This window comes from Homo sapiens, chromosome 2 (assembly GCF_000001405.40).
Source record: "Homo sapiens chromosome 2, GRCh38.p14 Primary Assembly".
Taxonomy (NCBI): domain Eukaryota; kingdom Metazoa; phylum Chordata; class Mammalia; order Primates; family Hominidae; genus Homo; species Homo sapiens.
The window spans coordinates 197266409-197288668 of record NC_000002.12 but is presented as its reverse complement, the minus strand read 5'-3'; the positions used below and the strand labels follow the sequence as shown (position 1 = coordinate 197288668).

The following is a 22260-nucleotide window of genomic DNA, read 5'->3' as shown; positions in this document are numbered from 1 at the left end:
TGTATATGTGTATATATATATATCACGTGTGTATGTGTATATATATATATCACATTTTCTTTATCCATTCATCTGTTGATGGACACTTAGATTCCATAACTTTGCTCTTGTGAATAGTGCTGTGATAAACTTGCATGTGCAGCTATCCCTTTTACATAGTGGTTTCTTTTCCTTTGGACTGATGCCCAACAGTGGGATTGCTAGGTCATATAGAAGTTATTTATATGTGTTTTTTTCTTTGAGAGATTGCCATGCTGTTCTCCATAGTGGTTGTATGGAGGTTGTATACATTCCCAACAACAGCATATAAGAGTTTCCTTTTCTCTGCATCCTCACCAGCATCTGTGAAACTTTATATACCGCCCATGAAGTTTCCTCTCAGATGTAGTGAATGAAGTTTCTATGTGCTTTTCCTTATATTCCACTCTGTGCAACTGGTTGAATAGCTGGATGTAAGTAACAGTGTTTCTCATTGGATTTGAACATTTGCTTAGAATATCATGGTATTTGAAAGCTAATTTCTCATATCTAAAGACCCAGATCCTCCTTTTATAACTGATTTTTGGGCAAACCCTAAATTTTTGGTCTTGAGGGAGTACATCAGATATCTTTTTTTCTTTTCTTTCTTTTTCTTTTTTTTTTTTTTTTTGAGACTGAGTCTCACTCTGTCACCCAGGCTGGAGTGCAATGATGTGATCTCGGCCCACTGCAACCTCTGCCTCCCGGGTTCAAGTGGTTCTCTGGCCTCAGCCTCCCAAGTGGCTGGGACTACAGGTGTGTGCCACCACACCGGGCTAATTTTTGTATTTTTAGGAGGGACAGGGTTTCACCATGTTGGCCAGGCTGGTCTTGAACTCCTGACCTCAAGTGATATGCCCGCCTCGGCCTCCCAAAGTGCTAGGATTACAGGCGTGAGCTACCGTACCCAGCGCGTGTCTACTTTGGTTTGCTAATTCCTGAATTAGCTAAGAAGTCCCCAGATCTCCTAAATAGAAAATAGGTATTATATCTCAGCAGTTACTTTACAAAAAACAGGGTAAAAGATCTAGATATAAACTTCACAATGATGTGTGGTTGTCTGTGTGTTGAATGGATTTGTTTGGCTTTTCTGTGTAGTGTTCAACAGCATTAAAAACGGTTCTTTGGAGAGAATACTAGTCTGATGACTAGTGTTGCTTGTTCCTCTCTTGCTCATCTCTAGAACAAACAGAAACACACGTCCTCTCTGCCAAGTATTCTGTGACGTCACAAGGCAGCTCCTACAGTGCAGCAGCTTTTTCTTACACTTTTCTTTTCTGGCTGCAGGAGAATTAATCTCTTCCTTCATACTTTTACCCATTTTTTTTAATCAGTTGGAGGATACATGATATTATTTAGAACATCTAGAAGGTATACTTTTTTAAAAAATAGACTTTAATTTTTAGGGCAATTTTATGTTCACAGCAAAATTGAGCAGAAAGTACAGAGAGTTCCATATACCCCTGTCCCCACAACCAGCCTCTCCCACTGTCACCATCCCCACTAGAGTGGTACATTTGTTACCATCGATGAACCTGCATTGACACATCATCACCCAAAGTCCATAGTTGACAGGGTTCACTCTTGGTGTTGTACGTTCTGTGGGTTTTGACAAATGTATAATGACATGTATCCACCATTATAGGGCCATACGGAGTAGTTTCACTGCCCTGAAAATCCTGCATGCTCTGCCTGCTCATGCCTGCTTACCCCCTAACCCCTGGCAACCACTGATCCTTTTTCTATCTCCGTAGTTTTATCTTTTCCAGAATGTTATACCGTTGGATAAATTCTTTTAAAAAGGGATCTAGCAGGATAAAGGAATTTTGAAACTGTAAGGGATCTTAGAGATTTTTCATTCTGTGGCCTTTTTTCATGCTTACCAAAGGTACATATTTTTCGACAGTTTGAATAGAAACCAATTCGTACAGTTTCATAAGCAAAAAAAAATTACATTAAAAATTAAGTTAATATTCCTGGGAGAAGTAAAGAGAAGCATTTAAAAAGGTATTTGGGAGGCCCAGGTGAGAGGATCACTTGAGGTCATGAGTTCAGGACCAGCCTGGACAACATAGCGAGACCCCCATCTCTACAAAAAATTAAAAAAAAAATTAGCCAGACATTGTGGCGTCCTTGTAGTCCTAGCTACTGGGGAGGCTGAGACAGGAGGATCAATTGGGCCCAGGAGATTGAGGCTGCAGTGAGATATGATCTTGCTACTGCACTTCAGCCTGGGTGACAGGGCAAAGCCCTGTCTCTTAAAAAAAAAAGAAAAAAAAAAGTAGAAGAAGTAGGTAAAAAATTCTTTCTGTCCTTAGATACTCTTTAAAGAATTTGAAAGCCAATTTTGGTTGCTATTTTGATAGCATTTAGGGAAATCTTTGAATTAAATAAAACCAAATTGCTTTCAAATTGAGACAGTTAATTTAAATAGAAATATGCTCAGTTTTATTGCAGAGTGGGACTGGAATCTTTTGAAGCAAAAGATGTTTGGAAAGGGTAATATGCCTTAATAGTGTCATGGGGGACCCTTATAGAGCAGCAAATGACTACACTGGCCCACCAGCTGCAATGGTCAAATGGAAAGGCTTTCTTCCTTGTGCCAAATTGGCCAGCTTGTCTCTTTACTTTATAAATTGGGTGGTACCATTGTCAGACTCACCCAGAGTTAGCTCTGGGGCTCAGGCATTTTGTGTGAGAGATGGAATGGTTGAATTACTGCCACTGGGCACTTAGCAATCAAACTGGAAGGCCTGATTCTGATTTTGTCAGAGGGTTCCCAGAGGTGACCATATAGTGAAATCTGTTCTTTTTTTTCAGAATCTGACCCTATATCATTTTATTGATCTCTTTAAGCTTTGTACAGGTTCTTTGTCAACCATAATGAGGTTTTATGTTTTCTTTCCTTTTTGTTTTTCTGCAATCTGTCCAACCAAGGTTTATTTTGCAGGAATTTGTGACTGGGGGCATGCCTGAGATGAGCAAACGGTGCAAATCTTTAAGGCTGTGACACTTGGCTGTTAATAGCTTAAGAAGCTCTTGGTTGTAGGAGTAAGTCATAAAGCCACAAAAGGATTTAGCTTCTTGAGAAAGCAGAAATCTACTTAGCATTTTTATGAGAAAATGGAGTGACTCCTCCATTAGAGTCAAGCATTAAGGCTTCAGCGTCAACTAGAATATTTCCCATAGTTTGGCAAGTTGCCTTTTAACCCATGGCTTCCCACACCTGGAACCTGTTTCCTCTAGTTGCTCCATCGCAGGCAGGCTACTGTGTTTTGATCAGAACCCAGAAGAAAAGAACCTGGGATCTGGGTATCACAGGTAGCATTTTATAGCATCAGACATGTTCCAGTGACTAACTCTTGGCTGCCCCATCCCCAGACACTTTCCTGCAGTGGGTTGGGGCTGGGGAGGTTGTGGAGCTCACTGATGCACATTTTGCAGTTTGGCTCAATGGGTCCACAGGCCTTACATAACCTAAACTCCCTGACTTTTCATCACTTCCTGCAGAATGTGATGTGGGTGGGCTGAGGGATTCAAGTAGAGACTAGTGGGTGATACTTAAACTTGCTCAAAGGGAACATCTTTTAGGGAGCCTTCTAGAGTGCCACAAAATTGGGCTATGACTGTTTCTGCCATCTGAGAGAGGGCTATCACTCTTTCTATTATCTTAACAAGCAGAAGATATATTTCTATTGTAAGTAGTGAAGCTCTTCGTATCTTAACATTGAATAATGTAAAAAAAAATTTAATTTTTTTTTTTTTGAGATGGAGTCTTGCTCTGTTGCCCAGGCTGGGGTACAGTGGTGTAATCTCGGCCCACTGTAACCTCTGCCTCCCGGGTTAAGGCAATTCTTGTGCCTCAGCCTCCCCAGTAGCTAGGATTACAGGTGCACACCACCACACCTGGCTAATTTTTGTATTTTTAGTAGAGACGGGGTTTCACCATGTTGGCCAGGCTGGTCTCGAACTCCTGGCCTCAAGTGATCCACCCACCTAGGCCTTCCAGAGTTTTGGGATTATAGGCATGAGCCACCACGCCTGGCTCTAATAATGTAAAAATTTTAATGAGTCATATTTCTAGAATTTTGTTTAAACACACAAATTATGTGTGTGTGTGTGTGTGTGTGTGTGTGTGTGTGTGTGTTTGACTCTCTGTTGCCGTGAGTTCTTGTTTGACCATGTGGTGGTATGTGCTAGGGTTTGGAGAAATTAATGGGAAAAAGAGTATATGTCACATTTAAGTAGTTTTTTTCCTTCTAAGAATTGGGAAAAGGCCTCCATTGTTTGATTTTCATGGTGAGGCAACTTGGACCTGGTCATAGAACATGAATGTCCTGAGGGATGATAGGGAATGCAGCGAATACCCAGAGAAATCCTGTTAGCCTGCCAGAGGCGGGAGTGACCCTCATTTCTTCATCTCCTTGTGCAGTTCTTCAATGTTCTTTGCAAGTGGATTTCACTAAAGTGAGTTCTGTCTATTAATGTCAATAGGTATAGATGTCTTTCCATCTTATCCATAACGTGGAGAAGATGCAATATGCCTCATAAATATTTCCAGGAACAATGTTCCTTTTATTTCAGTAAATTAGAGGTCAGCACCCTATTCATAGATAGATCCAGCAAACGGGGAGAGGAGACAGTAGTTAACAGTGTTCATTCTTCTACACAATCTCTCTGTATCTGGTACCTCGTGCCTAGTTAAGTAACTGAATACTGATATCACTGAGCTATTCTTTAAAATAATGCAGTGTTAGAAAGCCTTCCATACCAAAATTCAAACCCCTCCTTTATCAGACATTGCGCTAGACTACTCAAGCCTAACATAGAATAGTTCCCAAGCTTTACTCCCTGCCCCCATTTATTGCTTCTTTATGCTACAAACATGATTGCAAGAGGGAAAATGTAATTTTTAAAATTCACTTTGGTAAAAGGGATTCCAATGATTTCATTACCACCTTAAACTTTTGTGAAAAAAAAACAACTCATCACTTTAAATTATTGAAGTGTATATTTAACCATTATTGTCATCCAGGTACACTTTCAACAGTTTTGTTTCTATTAAGGCTGTAATTATTTTATAAGGAAACATTAAATATTTACCATAATTAAAGAGACATGCTGGCATTTGTTTCACTATTTTTTACTTGAATTGCTTTATATAGAAACTTATGGAATTGCTTTATATGGAAATTGCTTTATATGGAGATTCATACTGAGATTTCAGTAGAGCAGGTATTAAAAGATGTATCCAGGGGCTCTGCCGAGAGACTGGCATGAAGGTTAATAGAACTCAATAAATATTTATTGGTTGAAAAATGAATTACATTCCATTTTGTTTGTCCCTAGGGGATTTTATCATAATGGGCTTTAAAAAATTTAATAGGTTTTGCTATAATAAAATATAACCAGTACAGTATGGTGTCACTTGTCTTGTGCTGGACAAGGGTAACCAAACTCAGAGACATCAACTTCTCTCTCCAGCCTCCACATCCTGGTGAGAGAAACTAACCTATCCTGTGGGTCAGTGAGAATCTAAGTGAGGCTTAGAAGCTTATACAAACATACATATCTATAAAAGCATTCCTATGATGTTCTCTTCTCTTAAAAACTCTTCCAGAGACTCTTCTAAAGGAATTTAAAATACAAGTTTCTGAACAGATATAGAATACCATTAGTTCACTGGCCAAGTAATAATCCACAGGCTGGTATATTTTAAATTCATAACAGTGTACTCTGTGCCTACTAAGGTAGAGAGGACACCTCCCGGATTCAAATGATCCTCCTGCCTCAGCCTCCTGAGTACCCGGGATTACAGGCACATGTCATTATGCTGGCCAATTTTTGTATTTTTAGTAGAGATGGGGTTTCGCCATGTTGGCCAGGCTGGTCCCGAACTCCTGGCCTCAGGTGATCTGCTCGTCTTGGCCTCCCAAAGTTCTGGGATTACAAGTGTGAGCCACCACACCCGGCCTGGAGGGATTAAAGTTTTTAGTATAAAGAACACTGTAGTATGGAAAGACCCTGTCTCAAAAAAATAAAATAAAATCCCCAACTTCAAGCATCTTCTCTGTTTCACCTCTCAACATCCCAGGGTGGCCCTCAGATCTGCCATAGACTCCTAAGTCCTCATCACACCACATCAAAACCATTCCAACAGCCCCAACTGGAGCTCTCTAAAGTACCTTATATCCAAATGCCAGGCTCATCTTCAAACACTTAAACACACACCGCCTCTCAGACCAGCCTGTTACTATAAACTTCTCAGTCTGGCATTCAAGACATACATACGCCACCAAGCCTTTTAATCTTTCTCCAAAGACTCCAAGAAAAAAAAAAAGAAAACATAATGGCAAAACACAGTAGACACTGTAGTTACTATATATATATATTTTTTTGAGACAGAGTCTTGCTGTGTCACCCAGGCTGGAGTGTAGTGGCATGATCTCCGCTCACTGCAGGCTCTGCCTCCCAGGTTCACGCCATTCTCTTGCCTCAGCCTCCCGAGTAGCTGGGACTACAGGTGCCCACCACCATGCCTGGTTAATTTTCTGTATTTTTAGTAGAGACGGGGTTTCACCTTGTTAGCCAGGATGGTCTCTATCTCCTGACCTCGTGATCTGCCCGCCTCGGCCTCCCAAAGTGCTGGGATTACAGGTGTGAGCCACCACGGCTGTCCTGCAGTTACCATATTTATACCAGAATCATCTTACGTGGCTTCAGACAGAACACTAATTTTACATTAACACCTACCAACCAGCCTCACAATATAAAAAGTTCACTGTGGATTTAAACAAGATTTAAACTTCTCTTCCACTGCTGGGAAGAAAATGAGGGAAAGTTATAAGCAAGAAAGGAGCAGTTTTAAATTTCTGGGAGGATTTTAGGGTAATATATAGATTTTTAATTCCAAGGAAAAAATTTGCCTGTATTCCTTTAATAGAGGAAATGCAGTAAACGTCACCTTATTACATTATCTGCCAAAATACAGTTGGCAAGTTAGCAACATCATTTCCTCATTTTCCAAACACATCTGCTGATAGATTCATCAAAAGAGGTACTTTACTCCCTGTTGCTGATTTTGTAAATTACCAGGCCCAAAAAGGAGATATGATGTAAATTACTCAGGGACTTATGCCTTATACAAGGACTGACGATGTTTTTTCAGTTTAAGCTAAGTTACTCCCATTTTGCCAAGAAGAAAATGGACAGAGAGTTGGACAACTACCTACCAAAAAGGTCTGGGATGTTGTTTCTTTGCCAGATTGAGAGGTTAGGGAAACTAAAGCTTGTTGGTGATGGGGGGTGGGGGATGGAGGATCAGGAGGTGGGGAGCAGGATGCCTTAATGGAATTTACAATATTGAAATATCTATTTTTTCTAGAGAAAATAAAGCATCAGGCCTCCTATCAACAGGCATGTAACATGTTCATTTGGTATAAGATCATCTCCCAAAGTCCCTCCAAAGATGGACAGGCATTTATACCTACTGACATTAATAGACAGAACTCACTTTAGTGAAATCCATTTGCAAAGAACATTGAAGAACTGCACAAGGAGAATGAACAAATGAAGGTCAGTCAGGACTCTGGCAGGTTAACAGAGCAAGACATATCTCAAAAAAAAAAAGCAGAGCTTAAGATTTTAATATAAAGAACATTCTAGTGAAAGACTGTTTATTTTAAAAATTATTTTTATTTTATTTTCTTTTTTGGGCCCCACTGACCAGACTCCAGAAAGACTGTTTTTTAAGTAAAGACAAACAACATCTTAGTTGGAGAGGTTTAGCTAGACAGTAGTGAGATGGACTACTGGGAGAAAAAGACTAAATATGTTGGGAATTGAGTGGTAACATGTGACTTTAATTGGTGAAAGAGGTCTGTTCATTAGTAATTGACCACTGTGGGTAGCTGGTTTATCAAGGGGTAATAATACTCTTTGATGGGCTTTTACATTTTCAGCAATCAAGTTCAGTAGTACAATCCCTAGTCCGCCAAAATCTCATCCGCGAGGCTTATCAAGACCGTGGCTATTGTACAGCGGTTGCTCAAGCATCCCACACTTGGCTCCTCCATCTCCACATAATTTGTCCTGACAGATCTTAGACCACGGAGTCAGCTTGGGATCTCTGTGTTTCTCTGTTAAGTTTGTGGTTCAGGCACAGGTAACTGAAAACAGATGTTTTTAGAGCAAAAACTCTGCTCGTTTTCTTGTTGAGCTTTTGGTAATTTGGGAAGGGAAGGGGAGCTGCCTTTTGCAAACCCTTTGTGCTTTTGTTACGAGCAGTTTCCCGACCTCAGCAATGCTTGCCAATGCTTTATCCAGATGCTTTCTTTGTTGTTTCTGGTAGGTGTTGCTGACTTGGGTGGAGAGGAGCCATAGCCCCTTTTTTCTTTATGCTAATTTCATTCTCCTGTTGCCTATTTCCTGTCTGTAGACTGCACATGGCCCCGGGGGGCTTAAGGTGATTTTCCGACCTTGCAATCACCTCTTAGGATTTTTCTGTTAAACACTCTTAGGTGTATGTGACAGCAGTAGGGACAGAATGAACTGGCAGTCCTGTCACACGCCGAGCTCAAAGAGAGATTGGACAGAAAGAGAGAGATAAGGTGGTTTAAAGGCAGAAGTGTCTCATAAACCATTAATACTAGGGAGGACGAAATTCTTATAGTAGTGGTGGCTCAAAAATGATGACAACAAAGCTTTGCAGAGCATCTGCTGTGAGGCGAAGAGGTGAGATTCTGGGAAGCCAGGACAAGACACTGTACCCAGGAACTTTATGGTCCAACTGGGTGGGGTGGGAAGCATGGAAATAAATCAATCCCAATGCAGGGCGGTCTGTGTTTAGGGTGCCAGCTGATGGCTCTCATTGGAGTGCAGGAGAGTGAGCACATCCAGGCAGGAAGCTTTCTGAAAGGTGGCTTTATGGAGGACATGGGATTTGAGTTGGTTTTTAAATGTCTCGTAGTAGGACAAACTAGGAAGAAGGAGGAAGGGTGCATTTGGGAGCAGAGGTCAGCAAGGGAAGAGAGAAAAAGGAAGCCTTGCAAAGGGCTTCCAGGAACAGTGAAGCGAGCAGCTTGGCTGGAGCAGAGGGTGTGTATGGGCAACAGTGGGAGATTGGATGGGAGAGAATGGACAGTGCCAGTTTGTGGAGTTCCAGTTTGTGAAAACCCGCTAAGGAGTTTGGGGTTTATCTTGTGACCGTGGGGAGCCATGACGACTTTTGATCAGAGGTTGTGATGTGTGCCAAGTGGTGTTTTAGGATGAATAATCTAACCATGATGTATATAGAGACTCAATGGCTTGTTTACTGCCTGGACTGCGTGATGCTGTTTCTCAGGCCATCTTCCAAGGACAAATGACGTTTTATTGTATACAGGTAGGCTCCCTGGTATTGTATTAGGAACTGACCCTCACAGTTTTATTAGTTAGGAGAGGGAAATGTTCTATCACCAGCATCTCTTAAATCTTCAGGGGCAATATTTTATCAGTCTTTGAAATGTGGACTGAATGATGGATATGCGATCCACTCTTAAATACAGCACTGCTAAGCTTAGCCCTGCAATCATGTGGTTATGAAATATTATCCAGCCTGAAACCATAAGAAAAACCCGCTTAGTCTGACCTTCTCACAACACATGAGAGCCCAACCTTTGAAAGGATGTGGAAAAACTGGAGAACTGCTGACTGCACAAAATGCAAATGAGAATTCCACGTGGAGGGATTCTTCTCTGACTTCTTGGTATTTTCTTCTCTTGCATGTTTGCTCCAGACCACACCGCCTGTTTCTGCTCCAAATGTTTCCAAAGCGAAAAGTCTCTGCCTCAGAGATTTGAGGCACTTGCTTGCTGGCGACCTACGTGTCGCAATGAGAGAAAGGAAAGGGGTGGTGGGGAAGAGAAAGTGGGTAGGGAGGTCTTTTGGTCTTACTGTCCAATAAGACCTTGTGGCCTGTAACATGGGTGTAAAGAGCCTCCATCTTTACCTTTGTAGGGATAAAAGTGAGTTTTGTGGATGGGCGCAGTGGCCCATGCCTGAAATCCCAGAACTTTGGGAGGCTGAGGTTGAGGCCAGCAGTTTGAGACCAGCATGGTGAAACCCCGTCTCTACTAAAAATACAAAAATTAACCGGGCGTGGTGGTGCGTGCCTGTAGTCCCAGCTACTCGGGAGGCTGAGGCAGGAGAATTGCTTGAACCCGGGAGGTGGAGGTTGCAGTGAGCCGAGATCACACCACTGCACTCCAGCCTGGGCGACAGAGCAAGACTCTGTCAAAACAAAACAAACAAAAAGTAAGTTTTGTAACTACCTGGATGCACATTTAGGATGCAGAATAAAAAAAACAGAAAAAAAGATGGATTTCATCTTTATTTCTATTCATTGTTAACTCTTTCTGCATTAGAACACAGAAGCTTAGCACTTTGCAATTTAACAGCCAGTTAAACACCCCTTAACCCCTTAGCACCAGCCAATTGCCTTTCTTCCTAGCATATTTCCATCCCTCCCGTCCCCACTGATACTGTCCTGATTGCTGCAGTCACTCACTATTAGCTAATTTGCTGCCTTGGGAGATGCTGCGTTAAGATGGCTCTCTGATTAGGTGGGAATTGATTAAGCAGAAACTGCTTTACGCTGTTACTAGAACTGTCGAAGCAGTGTGAGAGCTCCTAATTCTGAGCCTCCTCTCATTTTGCTGTTGTCTCAATTAAGTTACTTTTCTATGATTTGTGGCTCATTAGCGTCAGTGACTCCTAACTGCCTATTCTCATCCTTGAGTCTTTCCAGCCATATGTGAATGATACATGCTCAGAGTCCCTTCTAATTATGATAATTTCCTCTTGTCCTCCTGAATGCTGGTGACAGCGCTAATAGCAAGATGGAAGTGAAGCTTTGGATAGAAATTCTATGTCTTGAAACTCCTTGGGACCTCTTCCATACCACCCCTACCTGTTTCCCTCTGGTCAAGGCTTGAGTATTAGCTGCGTGGTTAAGCTCTATCATCTGGGACTGCAGGGCCTAAGTTTAAAACCTTGAGTGAAATTATTCTGCTTCTTTAGGCCTCATTATTCTGAAAGACTGGATAGGAGTGGTATTTATCCCAGACAGTAGCTTTGAATTTGGATGGAGATAATGTATGTAAAGGCCTCTGCAGTCACGGTCTCCAGAGATGAGGCTCTTACTCCCTGTCTTCCAGATCCTCACTGGAATGCACCCTTTGCAAGACACCTCCTCCAGCCCAGCTGTTCCTTTCTTGAATTCCCATAGCACTTCACTGGTATTTCTTTCTAGCACTTAACAGTTATGTGCCTGACATGATGGTTAAAATTTTACCTTCCCTTTGAGACTCTGAGCACCTCTAGGCTAGGGAAGGGCTTGGTGCACTCCGTGTCCTCTATACTTGTGGGTACCAAACCGAGAAGAGGATCAATATCACTTGAGGAGCTTTGAAAAATAGATTCCTTTGGGAGGCCGAGGTGGGCCAATCACAAGGTCAGGAGATTGAGACCATCCTGGCTAATGCAGTAAAACCCCGTCTCTACTAAAAATACAAAAAATTAGCTGGCCTTGGTGGCAGGCACCTGTAGTCCCAGCTACTTGGGAGGCTGAGGCAGGAGAATGGCGTGAACGTGGGAGGCAGAGCTTGCAGTGAGCCGAGATTGCGCCGCTGTACTCCAGCCTGGGCAACAGAGCGAGACTCCATCTCAAAAAAAAAAAAAAAAAAATTCCTGGGTTCTAGCCCCAGAGAGCATCCTTATGAGACAGGCTGGAGCCTAGGCACCTGGATTTTTTATGAATGCCACAGGTATTTGTGCTGTGGGTGGGCCTCAGACCCCAGTTTTAGAATCAGTTCTATAAGGCAGTGGTTTCCAACCTTATCAAACCCAGCATCCTCTTTTATATATTTTGTAACATCCTCTTCCTGAAATGGAAACTCACAGATAATAGAACTCACACACAATATTTAAAAATAAATCAATGTAATACTCTAATTATAATATAAAGGAGAAACAACATGAAAATAATTTATAATAAAGTAGCATGTATTTCAATATGGGGACAGCTATATTGAAGACCTAATGAAATAGTTACATTTTTGCTCATAAATCAGTTTGTATTTAAGAAATATTCAGCTGAATAGTTTTAGTTATATATTAGTACTCTTATATATAACCCTAGAAATAAGGGCAAAAAAGTCTTTTCTTGTTTATCACTAAGAATATGACAACTATAAATATAGAGCAATACAGGTGTGTTATAGAGATGTCTCATTAATCATGAATGTCATTTCTGTAAGAGTCATCATTTTTAGAGATGGTGTAAAAAACTCTTAGCAAAGTTCTTTTTTTAATTTTCCTTTTTTTTTTTTTTTTTTTGAGACCAAGTTTCGCTCTTTTTGCTCATGCTGGAGTGCGGTGGCATGATTTCAGCCCCCTGCAACTTCTACCTCCCAGGTTCAAGTGATTCTCCTGCTTCAGCCTCCCAAGTAGCTGGGATTACAGGTGCGTGCCACCATGCCTGGCTAATTTTTTATTTTTACTAGAGACAGGGTTTCACCATGTTGGCCAGGCTGGTCTCGAACTCCTGACCTCAGGTGATTTGCCCACCTTGGCCTCCCAAAGTGCTGGGATTACAGGCGTGAGCCACTGCGCCCGGCTAGTAAAGTTCTGAACAAAATACATTACATCCTTCCCTCAATTTATAGGGTAATCAAATTCCTAGAGAATTTAGTGTATTTAAAACTAAACAATATTTTATGAAATGCATAGTTAAGATCTAGACTTAGATAATTATATAAACTCTTTCCCCCTCTTTTATGAAAATCATGTGGGATGTGGGCCAATCCACCATGAAAAGAAATTTTCTAGAGCACTGTAGGACTGTAGCGTTCCTGCTCCCACCCCCCATATGCCAGCAGAGCCCTGTAATCATTGTAACGACCAAAAGCCCCCAACCCGGTTCCAAAGCCTGTAGGGGCAGTGCTACCCCGCTGAGAACCACTGCTGTGGACATAGAAAGTGCAATAGCCCTAAATGATCATCAGTACAGAGCCCTTGTGGTCCCAGCAGGTTGCCCACCCCCCCAACATGGTGCTCTGTACATATTTGTTAAATAAGTAAATGAATGAACTACCAGTCTTTGAATACTTGAAGTAAATGGCATGGATCCCCCCTTCTAAAATTTTATGAGTGCGTGTTGTATTTTTTTTTTTTTTTTTTTTTTGAAGAGACTGGGTCACCTGGGCACAGTGGCTTATGCCTGTAATCGCAGCACTTTGGGAGGCTGAAGTGGGAGGATCTCTTGAGCCCAGGAGTTCAAGACCAGCCTGGGCAACATAGTGAGACCTTGTCTCAACAAAAAATCCACATATTAGTTGGGTGTAGTGGCATGTGCCTGTAGTCTCAGATACTTAGGAGGCTGAGGTGGGAGGACTGCTTGAGCCCGCGAGGTTGAGGCTGCAATGAGCTGTGATTACACCACTACCACTGCACTCCAGCCTGGGTGACAGAGCGAGAGTCTGTCTCCAAAAAAAAAAGAGAAAAGAGACAAAGTCCCAGTCTGTCACCCAGGCTGGAGTGTCATGGTACAATCACAGCTCACTGTAGCCTCAAAATTCAAAATGTCAGATTCAAGCAGTCCTCCTACCACAGCCTCCCAAGTAGCTGGGACTACAGGTGCATGCCACCACACCTGGCTAATTTTTGTTTTTGTTTTTTTTTCATAGAGATGGGGTTTCTCTATATTGCCCAGGCTGATCCTGAACTCCTGGCCTTAAGCAATCCTCACACCTTGGCCTCCCAAAGTGCTAGGATTACAAGGTGTAAGCCACCATGCCAGACTGAGTGTGATTTTTTTTCTAAACCAGAATTGGCCTCTGTTCTTTGTCCCATTAAAGAAACCCTAAAGTACTTAAAACTGAAAAAGGGCTTTGGTGCAGGTTGGGTTCTCTAGAAGAAGATGCTAAGATGGAATCTGGGGTGTGAGATGCTCGTTAGGGACCAACATGTAGGAAGGGAAGGACGCAGGACTGGGCCGAGGGAAAAGTTGAAAAGGCCTCAGCACACCTGGCAGGAAGCCCTGGAGTGAGTGAGTGCAGTCACCGTGTCCTGCTTTGGGCCATCGTGGGCCTTTATATCCTTACCTCTCAGTTACAGGCAGGTTGTCACAGGAATGGTGTGATCTCAGGTGAGGTGGCTCTCTGCAGCAGGGGCAGACCCTGAAGGAGCTGGCAGCTGGAGGCCATGTGCTGACCACACTCTGCACAGCTGGGCGGCAAGCCTTTATCTGAAGAGAGGTCATTTCAGTCTGCCATAGGCTTTCATAGAGACCCTCACTGTGCCTCAGAGCAACCCTAAGAGGTGGGTATAGTTATCATTCCCATTTTATAGATGAGGAAACTGAGGCTGAGAGAATTTTCACTAACTTCCCTGATTTAATTACCTAACTAGTTAGTGTCTCAGTGAGAACAGGAACATGACTTCTAAGTGCCAGGTCCCCTTAGTGATGTCCACATGGACTTGACAGTTCTCATTCATTCATTCAGTCATTTGGTTGGTTGGTGTGAAGTGACATACTCCATGCTGCAGTGGGGCAACTGAGCTGCTCAAAAGCCTGTCTGATTCATATATATATATATATATATATATATATATATATATATATATATATATTTTTTTTTTTTTTTTTTTTTGTGGTTGGTTGACTAGCTTACAGGTAGATTAGCATGATGAGGTGGAAACATCTGAATCCTTTTATTCACAGCTTTTATCACTGGATCAGCTTAAGGAATTAATTTTTAAAATCCTTGACATGCCTGAGAGCTGCTTGTTTTGTGATAAGATTTTCCTTATAGGTTGTTCCTAGCATAGACAAGGACATTTGATTTAGGGCCTTAGGCCTTCAAGGTATCACTTCCCAGGCTCCAGCCAACTGGTGTTTGTGGGTGAACCAGCCAGCTGGCAGCTGCCTCGGGAATCTGATATGTACTCCAGGAAGCCCAGGCCGCAGGTGCTGGCCTGGCTCCTAGGCCCTGCGCCCTCTTCCTCTCTTTTTCCTGGGCAGCTTCAGCTTAGGCTCTCAGTGGCCTATTGAAAAAGGGTTCAAACCATTTCTAGATCCCCCACTGGGAAGTGCTATCTTTAATCAAAGGCAAAGCATTTTGGCGACTGTGTGTTAGAATAATTTTGGCTTTTTAGCACATCAAATGGGAATGACTGTTTTTGCCAATCTGCTATGTGAAAATGGATATTTCCCAGACACCTTTTTAATATGCTCATTGACCTTTTGCATCTTTCTTTTCTTTGAATTGCTTATTCATTTAATTTGATGTTAAAAAAATCGGGTTAACTATCCTCTTCTGACCAGTTTGTAGGAGCTTGTTGTCTATCAGAATCCATGGCTTCTTAAATGTCCTGACAAATTTCTCCTCATCTTTCTTCAGTCTCTTTCACTCTGCGACTTCTTTCCTTCAGTCCCAGAGGATGCAGGCCTGGTGAATACTGAGGAATTAGGAACCTTGGGCCTCGGGCCTTTGAGCTTTTCAATGGCCCCAAAATATGTCTGAAATTAGAAAAAAAAGTTTGTATTGGCTTCTTTGAATACTGAAAGAAAATAGCAAAATCTAAGTTAATGTGTATTTAATCAATCAAATACCTATAAGACCTAACTTGATGTCAACTAATCATTTATAAGTCAACTTAATATATAGTTATTTATAACCCAAATTAAAGTTAGTTTATTTTTTGTGTGGGAGGAGGGTGTCTTAGTCTGCTTTGGTGCTTCCAACAGAATACCGTGGACTGGGTGGCCCATAAACAACAGGAATTTATTTCTCACAGTTCTGGAGGCTGCTGTCAAGGCGCTGACCAGATTTGGTGTCTGGTGAGGGTCCAATTCCTGGTTCATAGATGTCTGTCTTCCTGCTGCGTCCTCACATGATGGAAGGGGTGAGGGAGCTCTCTGGGTCTATTTCATAATGGCAGCAATTCCACTTTAAGGGCTCCACTCTCCAAACAAAACAAAACAAACTTTTTAGTCTTGGCTTACCCCATTGTATTAGTCCATTTGGGCTGCTAAAACAAAATATCAACTGGGTGGCTTATAAACGATAGAAATTGGCCAGGCGCATTGGCTCACGCCTGTAATCCCAGCACTTTGGGAGGCCAAGGCGGGCGGATCACAAGGTCAGGAGTTCAAGACCAGCCTGACCAACATGGTGAAACCCTATCTCTACTAAAAGTACAAAAATTAGCTGGGCGTGGTGGCACGTGCCTGTAGTCCCAGCTACTTAGGAGGCTGAGGCAGGAAATTGCTTGAACCCGGGAGGCGGAGGTTGCAGTGAGCTGAGATCGTGTCACTGCACTCCAGCCTGGGTGACAGAGTGAGACTCCATCTCAAAAAACAAAAACAAAAACAAAATACCAAACAAACAAATAAAACAATAGAAATTTATTTCTCCCAGTTCAGGAGGCTAGGAATTCCCAGATCGGGGTGCCAGCCTAGTAAGGTTCTGATAAGGGTGCTCTTCTAGTTGCAGGCTGCAGACTTCTTGTTGTGATCTCGATCTCACATGATGGAAGGAGCTAGCCAGCTCTCTGCAGTTTCTTTTATAAGGGTCGTAATCTCTAATTCCCTCCCAAAGGCTCCAACTTCTAATACTATCACTTTGGCGATATAATTTCAACATATGAATTTTGTTGGGGACAAACATTCAGGCAATAGCAGCCCTCTAAGACAGTTTTAAAACCTTGGGCTGGGCGTGCTGGCTCATGCCTGTAATCCCAGCACTTTGGGAGGCCAAGGCAGGCAGATCGCTTGAGCCCAGGAGTTCATGACCAGCCTGGGCAACATGGTGAAACTCCATCTCTACAAAAAATTTAAAAAATGGTGGTATGCACCTGTAGTCTCAGCTACTAGGGAGGTTGAGGTAGAAGGATCACTTGAGCCCAGGAGGTTGAGGCTGCACTCCAGCCTGGGCAACAGAGCGAGACCCTGTCTCAAAAACAAAGCAACCAACAAACAACAAAAAAACCTGATTTGCAATGCATTAGTGGATTGTGAATTTAATGGGCTATGGCTACATTAAAAAATAGAACAGAGAATATAATTTTATATCACATTTAGTAAGATAATGTCAGTCTGTTAAGGATTCTATAGCACAATAGCTTAGACTGGGTAATTTATAAACAACAGAAATTTATTGCTCACAGTTCTGTAAGTTGGAAAGTTCAAGATCATGGCACCAGCAGATTCAGTGTCTGCTGAGGGCCCACTCTCTGCATTGTAGATGGTGCCTTCTTGCACAGTCCTCACATGGTAGAAGGAACAAGCTCCCTCAGGCCTGTTTTATAAGGGCACTAATCCCATCCTAAAGGCCTCACCTCTTAATATTATTGGGAATTCGGTTTTAACATATGGATTTTGAGGGTGCACACAAACATTCAGACCATAGCAGATAGATATGGTTTCATGAAACTTTTGTTAAGGCTATGTTTTTGTGTGTCCAGACCAGCCTCAATTTGTGGGATCTAGTGCAACATGAAAATGCAAGACTCCTTGTTAAAAAATCTTTAAGAATTTCAAGATGGCAGTAGCAGAGCATTTAACCAAGAATGCGGCTCTTCCCAGCACAGGTCCCTGGGCAGCTGCACGGTCTGCTTGCTCATGGAGCCAGCCCTGGTGTGTGTATATATGTGTATGACCTGGGTTGAGATGGAAGATTATTTTCTAAAGCCACTGTAGTGATGTGTGCCAAGATCCACAGAAAGGCTGGTTGTGGACACCAGTGTGGGGTACCATGAGCTTTCAGCCACTCTTCCTTGGTCTGCTCATCTGCACCTTGCCAGCTGGCTCCGCTCCCTCCATTCCTGCCTGCCGGTACCCACTTTCTGCCATATTGGCTCCTGTTTGTTATGCCCAGCTCCAGTGCTACAGCTTCCTCGTCTCCAGCTCTCCCTTTCCCTGACTTTCCTAGTGAGACTGGAGGCCCTTGGGAAATGGCTCAGACACTGCCTACAATTAAATGCTAAGGTTTCTTTTACCTTTGACCCAGATGTCTCTCCTCTGCGTTTAGTCTGCTGTTTATTACTTCTTAGAAATTCCACCTGGATGTCCCTGAAGGGCTTCAGACTCATTTTCCACCTTACCTTTCCATCCCCGTCCAAAGCTGCTCTTACTCCTATATTTGTCACTTTGCTTGGTGCCATGAATGTTTACTCAGTTGTTCAAGCTGGAAACTGTGGGGATTATTCTTTATTCTTTCATTCTTTCTTCTTCCCCACCTCCTCAGATCTCATGAGTTGCCAAGTCTTATAAGTTTGACCTCCTCCATAATTGCTTTAGAGTCTGTTCTCTCTCCTCCACATCTGGCACAGAGTCTGACTCCCGAGTGGCATGTGCAAGGCCTTAACTCTGATCTTTACCTGCACTCTCATCCTCACCTCCCACCCCTGTCCCCCAATCCCTGCTCCAGCCACACATCTGTTCCCCTAGGTTCTCAGGCTTCTTAACTGGGAACAATAGCATCCCCCCATCCTTGAGGACATTTGGAAATGTGGGAGGGGCATTACTTTAGCTGTTGTCATGACTGGGAGTTGCTGCCAGCAATGAGTGGGTGGGGTCTGAGACAGCAAATGTCCTGCAGTGTGTGGGACAATCTACCAGACATGGAAGTGTCCTATCCAGAATTGCAGGTAGCCACCCTGCTGAAAAACAGAACATGCTGTTTCATGCCTCTGCCCTTTGCACCTCCCTTTGTCTGAGATGTCTCTCCTCAGTCTTCTCTGCCTGGGAAATTCCTACATGTTCTTTGAGTTCCAGCTTAAAAATGCCACTGTCTCTCCGAAGCCTCCTGTACCCATTTTGCACACTGAGGTTAATTGGTCCCAGGGTACTTATACCTCCCATGGGCCACTTTGAGTGTGTATTTTCCTGGCTTTGTCCTCCCAGTACCTAGCATGGTTTGGCAGGTAGTAGGTGGGCAATAAACTAGAGGGTGGCATGGCTTAAAGAAATGCCACCAAGAGCCCCTCAGCTCTGCAGTTCTTGGATTAGGCTTTCCTTGTTATACTTCAATTCTATCTTCTCCTTCTTCCCCTGCCCCCTCTTTTCCTTTCTCAATTGCAGCCTTTCTAACTCCAGCATGCGCTTCTTCATTACTACAGATTGGCTATCTTCCATAGTTACAGTCATCTGCGGTTCCTCGAGATATCTAAGAATTGAAATAGATCTTGGCCATCTTTGCTCCTGAGGTGTGATTGCAGTAGTTACAGCTCCCGTTTCCAAGGCAACAGCCTTCTGGTTATGAGTAGAGTGCTTCTCTTAGTGGATCTCCATTAGGAGAGAGGAGCCTTACTGCTCCTATCTCCATATTCAAACTTTCCCTGCTTTATTGCTTATTTATAAAAGGCCAGTTTACACTGGAACAGGGCAGGGATAAAATGTTACTCTGCTCTGGCAGTTAAAAAACTTTTTTGAAGCATACTATACATGTGGAAGAGAGCACATTTAATAAGTATATATCTTCATGAATACACTCTATGAGTAGCAACCAGATCAAAAACAAAAACAAAAACACATTACCAGCACCCCAAAGCTTAATGGCTTTTCATGGAAATGTTGGACTTTTTTTGAGTATGCATTTCTTATTTTATCTGAGTCATATTTTTCCCCAAACCAGCTGTAATCTAAGGTTCCACGAGATACATCCTGATTTAAGAACGCTGAGCAATCAACACACAGATTAGATAGGTAGCTTTAGATCATTACAATTTAAAAAAACATTTTAAAACATGATTTCCCCAGTGTTAGGGAGGCATCTTAGGGATGAAAGCCTCCAGTCTGATGGATTCCCAGTTCTGCGGAGTGAAGGCAGGGCATATGAGGAAGGTCTCAGTCCAGGCTGATTCCTTAAGCCCATGAAAAGCAGATGCATGCAGACATACAGACCCCCTCCTTATCCCATTCACCGCATTCTTCCATTTTAAAAAAGTCACCTGGGTATCGGCTGGTGCAAGTGGAATCAGCTTTTGGAATCAGATCATTCCAGAGTGAATCGCATCTCTGTCATCCACGCCATGTGACTACAATTCCTTTCCTCTCTGGATTTTAATTTCCTCACCTATAAAATGGGAACAGTATACTTCTCTTGCAGACTTAAAGTGAGGAATAAATGAGATAACGAATGTGAAGAATGCCAGCATTGTGCTTGGTTCACAGAAAGTCACAAAAAATGATAGTTTCTCTCTTTTCTTACCCAAAGTTGGAAATTGTCAGAGCCTTCATCACATTGTTCTTGGATAACTTGTCATCTCTTTGCCTCCTATTTCCCGTGCCCCAGTGCATCTCAGATGCTTCTTTCTCCAGATTTATCTTCCTGAACCACTCTTTCTACCTTTGCTATTAACAAGACTGATAGATTTTCATGGCACATGTGCTGAAGCTGGGCATAGAAGGGCTTCATAGATCAGCTCCACAGCTTCTGGGGTATCCCTCACCTTATCCTTCCCATTGTGATGCCCTTGGGCCATGGTGAAGGAGGTAGTTGGCCATGCTGTGCCCTTCTTTTTCTATTGTAAAACCTGTGCTGAGTTCCTCAGCCTTGCCACAATCTAAGACATTTGGCTCCTTCCTGGAGATCCCATTCTGGATCCAAGGATTTAAGGAGCTCCAGCCTGACCCTGAAACTCTGTGTCAAGTCAGGTCTGGCCTTGCCTTTGTGTCCCTTGTTGGGAGACTGGGCTTTGGCTTTGTTCCCAAGTTGTGATTTCTACCTTGACCCTGATTCTGGTGACTTTCTCAGTTCCTGCCTTGGTGTCTTACCCCGACCCCAGCTCCTCTGGAATGGCTTCTTCCCTTGGACAGTCAGCACGGAGAGACAGTCTTCCCTCCACTCCTGGTGCTTTGTCTTGGACAACCCTACTCTAGCATTGAAACAGCTGCTTACTTAGATAACCAGCATTATCTGGAGCCATTGTTTTCAGATACCCTGTCTCATGGAGCAAGTGCCTCTTAGTACCACAGCATGTCATTTCAGCATGAATTGATTGGGTACACTTATTTGGAACTTGGCTATCTGGCCTTTTACCTATCTAGAACGTGGTGGAGAATCAAGAAACATTAAAAAATGGAGCCAAACATAGATGTGGCAAAGTCTAAGGATCATATTTTTTCCTCTTAGGAGAAGGCCTTAGGCCCTCAGAGGCAGGTACTCTTACTTTAGACACATGGCTAATTGGCTTTTACGTGCACAATAAATTAGCAACAGCCAATTGTTCACAATAGGGAGAAATGACAACCTATTAGAAAGGTGGAGGAGGATGGGAAAAATGATAAATGCATAAAGGAGCTGAAAAATTACATTAAAGATTCTGGAGTGATTTTAGCATTTTAAAAGACACTGAGAGCATCCTTGAAATACAGAATGTGCATGATGGCGACCCTTAGTCATCTGCAAAATGTCCTTATAATTTTCTCAAGATGGTAAGGAAGAATGCTACTATACATTTTAAGATGTCTACCTAAAATAGCTAGAATAAAAAGATTTCCATGTTTATTCAGGCTAAACCTTTATTCCCTTTATTCATTCATTCATCTAATATTTAATGAATGCCTTGATGTGGCATTGTTCTAGGTGCTGAGAATATGTTACAGAGCAAAACAGACAAAATCCCTGTCCTTTTGGATATTAATCTAGAAGACTGGGCTTTTCAGAGAAAGTAATTCTCCATGACCTGAGACGGTCAAGCTTTTTGCCTTTATTATTTTTAACAGACCGTATAGGACATTTTTCTATATTGTGAATAGAAGATTAAATGGAAGAGATTATTTCTCAGATGCTCAAAACTGACTCTATGAATGTCATAAAACACATTGAAAGCCTCTGAGGTGCTTGACTTACTTAGAGTATTTCATTTTTCATCGCAACAGGTAGTAGGAAGTGCGGTTTGTTTTTTGCTGGTGGGGAAATGGCAGAATAGAAAGGTGCAATGACTTGCCTGAGGTTATACAGAGTTTAGTGACACTCTTGCATGCCCATACTAGATGATTTCTCATTTCCAAGGTCAAGTCTTTTGGTTAGGGACTGTCATTCAGTTCGTGTAAAGAAAAAGGGAGGAAAATGCCAAAATTTTAAATATAAAGGGTGAAAAATTGAGTGATTTAATGTTTGTGTAATTAGTCCTAAAATGAATTCCTCATCTGTGGTTTTCTGGGTCAGACAGCAGACTTGAGATCTGTTTGTATAT

General features: G+C 42.5%; 1 protein-coding gene and 1 long non-coding RNA gene across 18 annotated transcripts in view, besides 1 other annotated feature; both read left to right on the top strand.

Annotated features, from left to right (window-relative positions):
- ANKRD44 (ankyrin repeat domain 44) overlaps positions 1-22260 on the top strand; it is a 343767-nt gene that overhangs the window by 22112 nt on the left and 299395 nt on the right. The gene's annotated exons all lie outside the window — the stretch shown is intronic.
- ANKRD44-IT1 (ANKRD44 intronic transcript 1) overlaps positions 1-22260 on the top strand; it is a 51662-nt gene that overhangs the window by 13851 nt on the left and 15551 nt on the right. The gene's annotated exons all lie outside the window — the stretch shown is intronic.
- Positions 14123-14262: an enhancer, noted in NCBI's record as "active region_16923". NCBI's record gives its function as "activates an Ori minimal core promoter by ATAC-STARR-seq in GM12878 lymphoblastoid cells {active_cell/tissue: GM12878}" and the evidence as "EXISTENCE:reporter gene assay evidence [ECO:0000049][PMID:35858748]".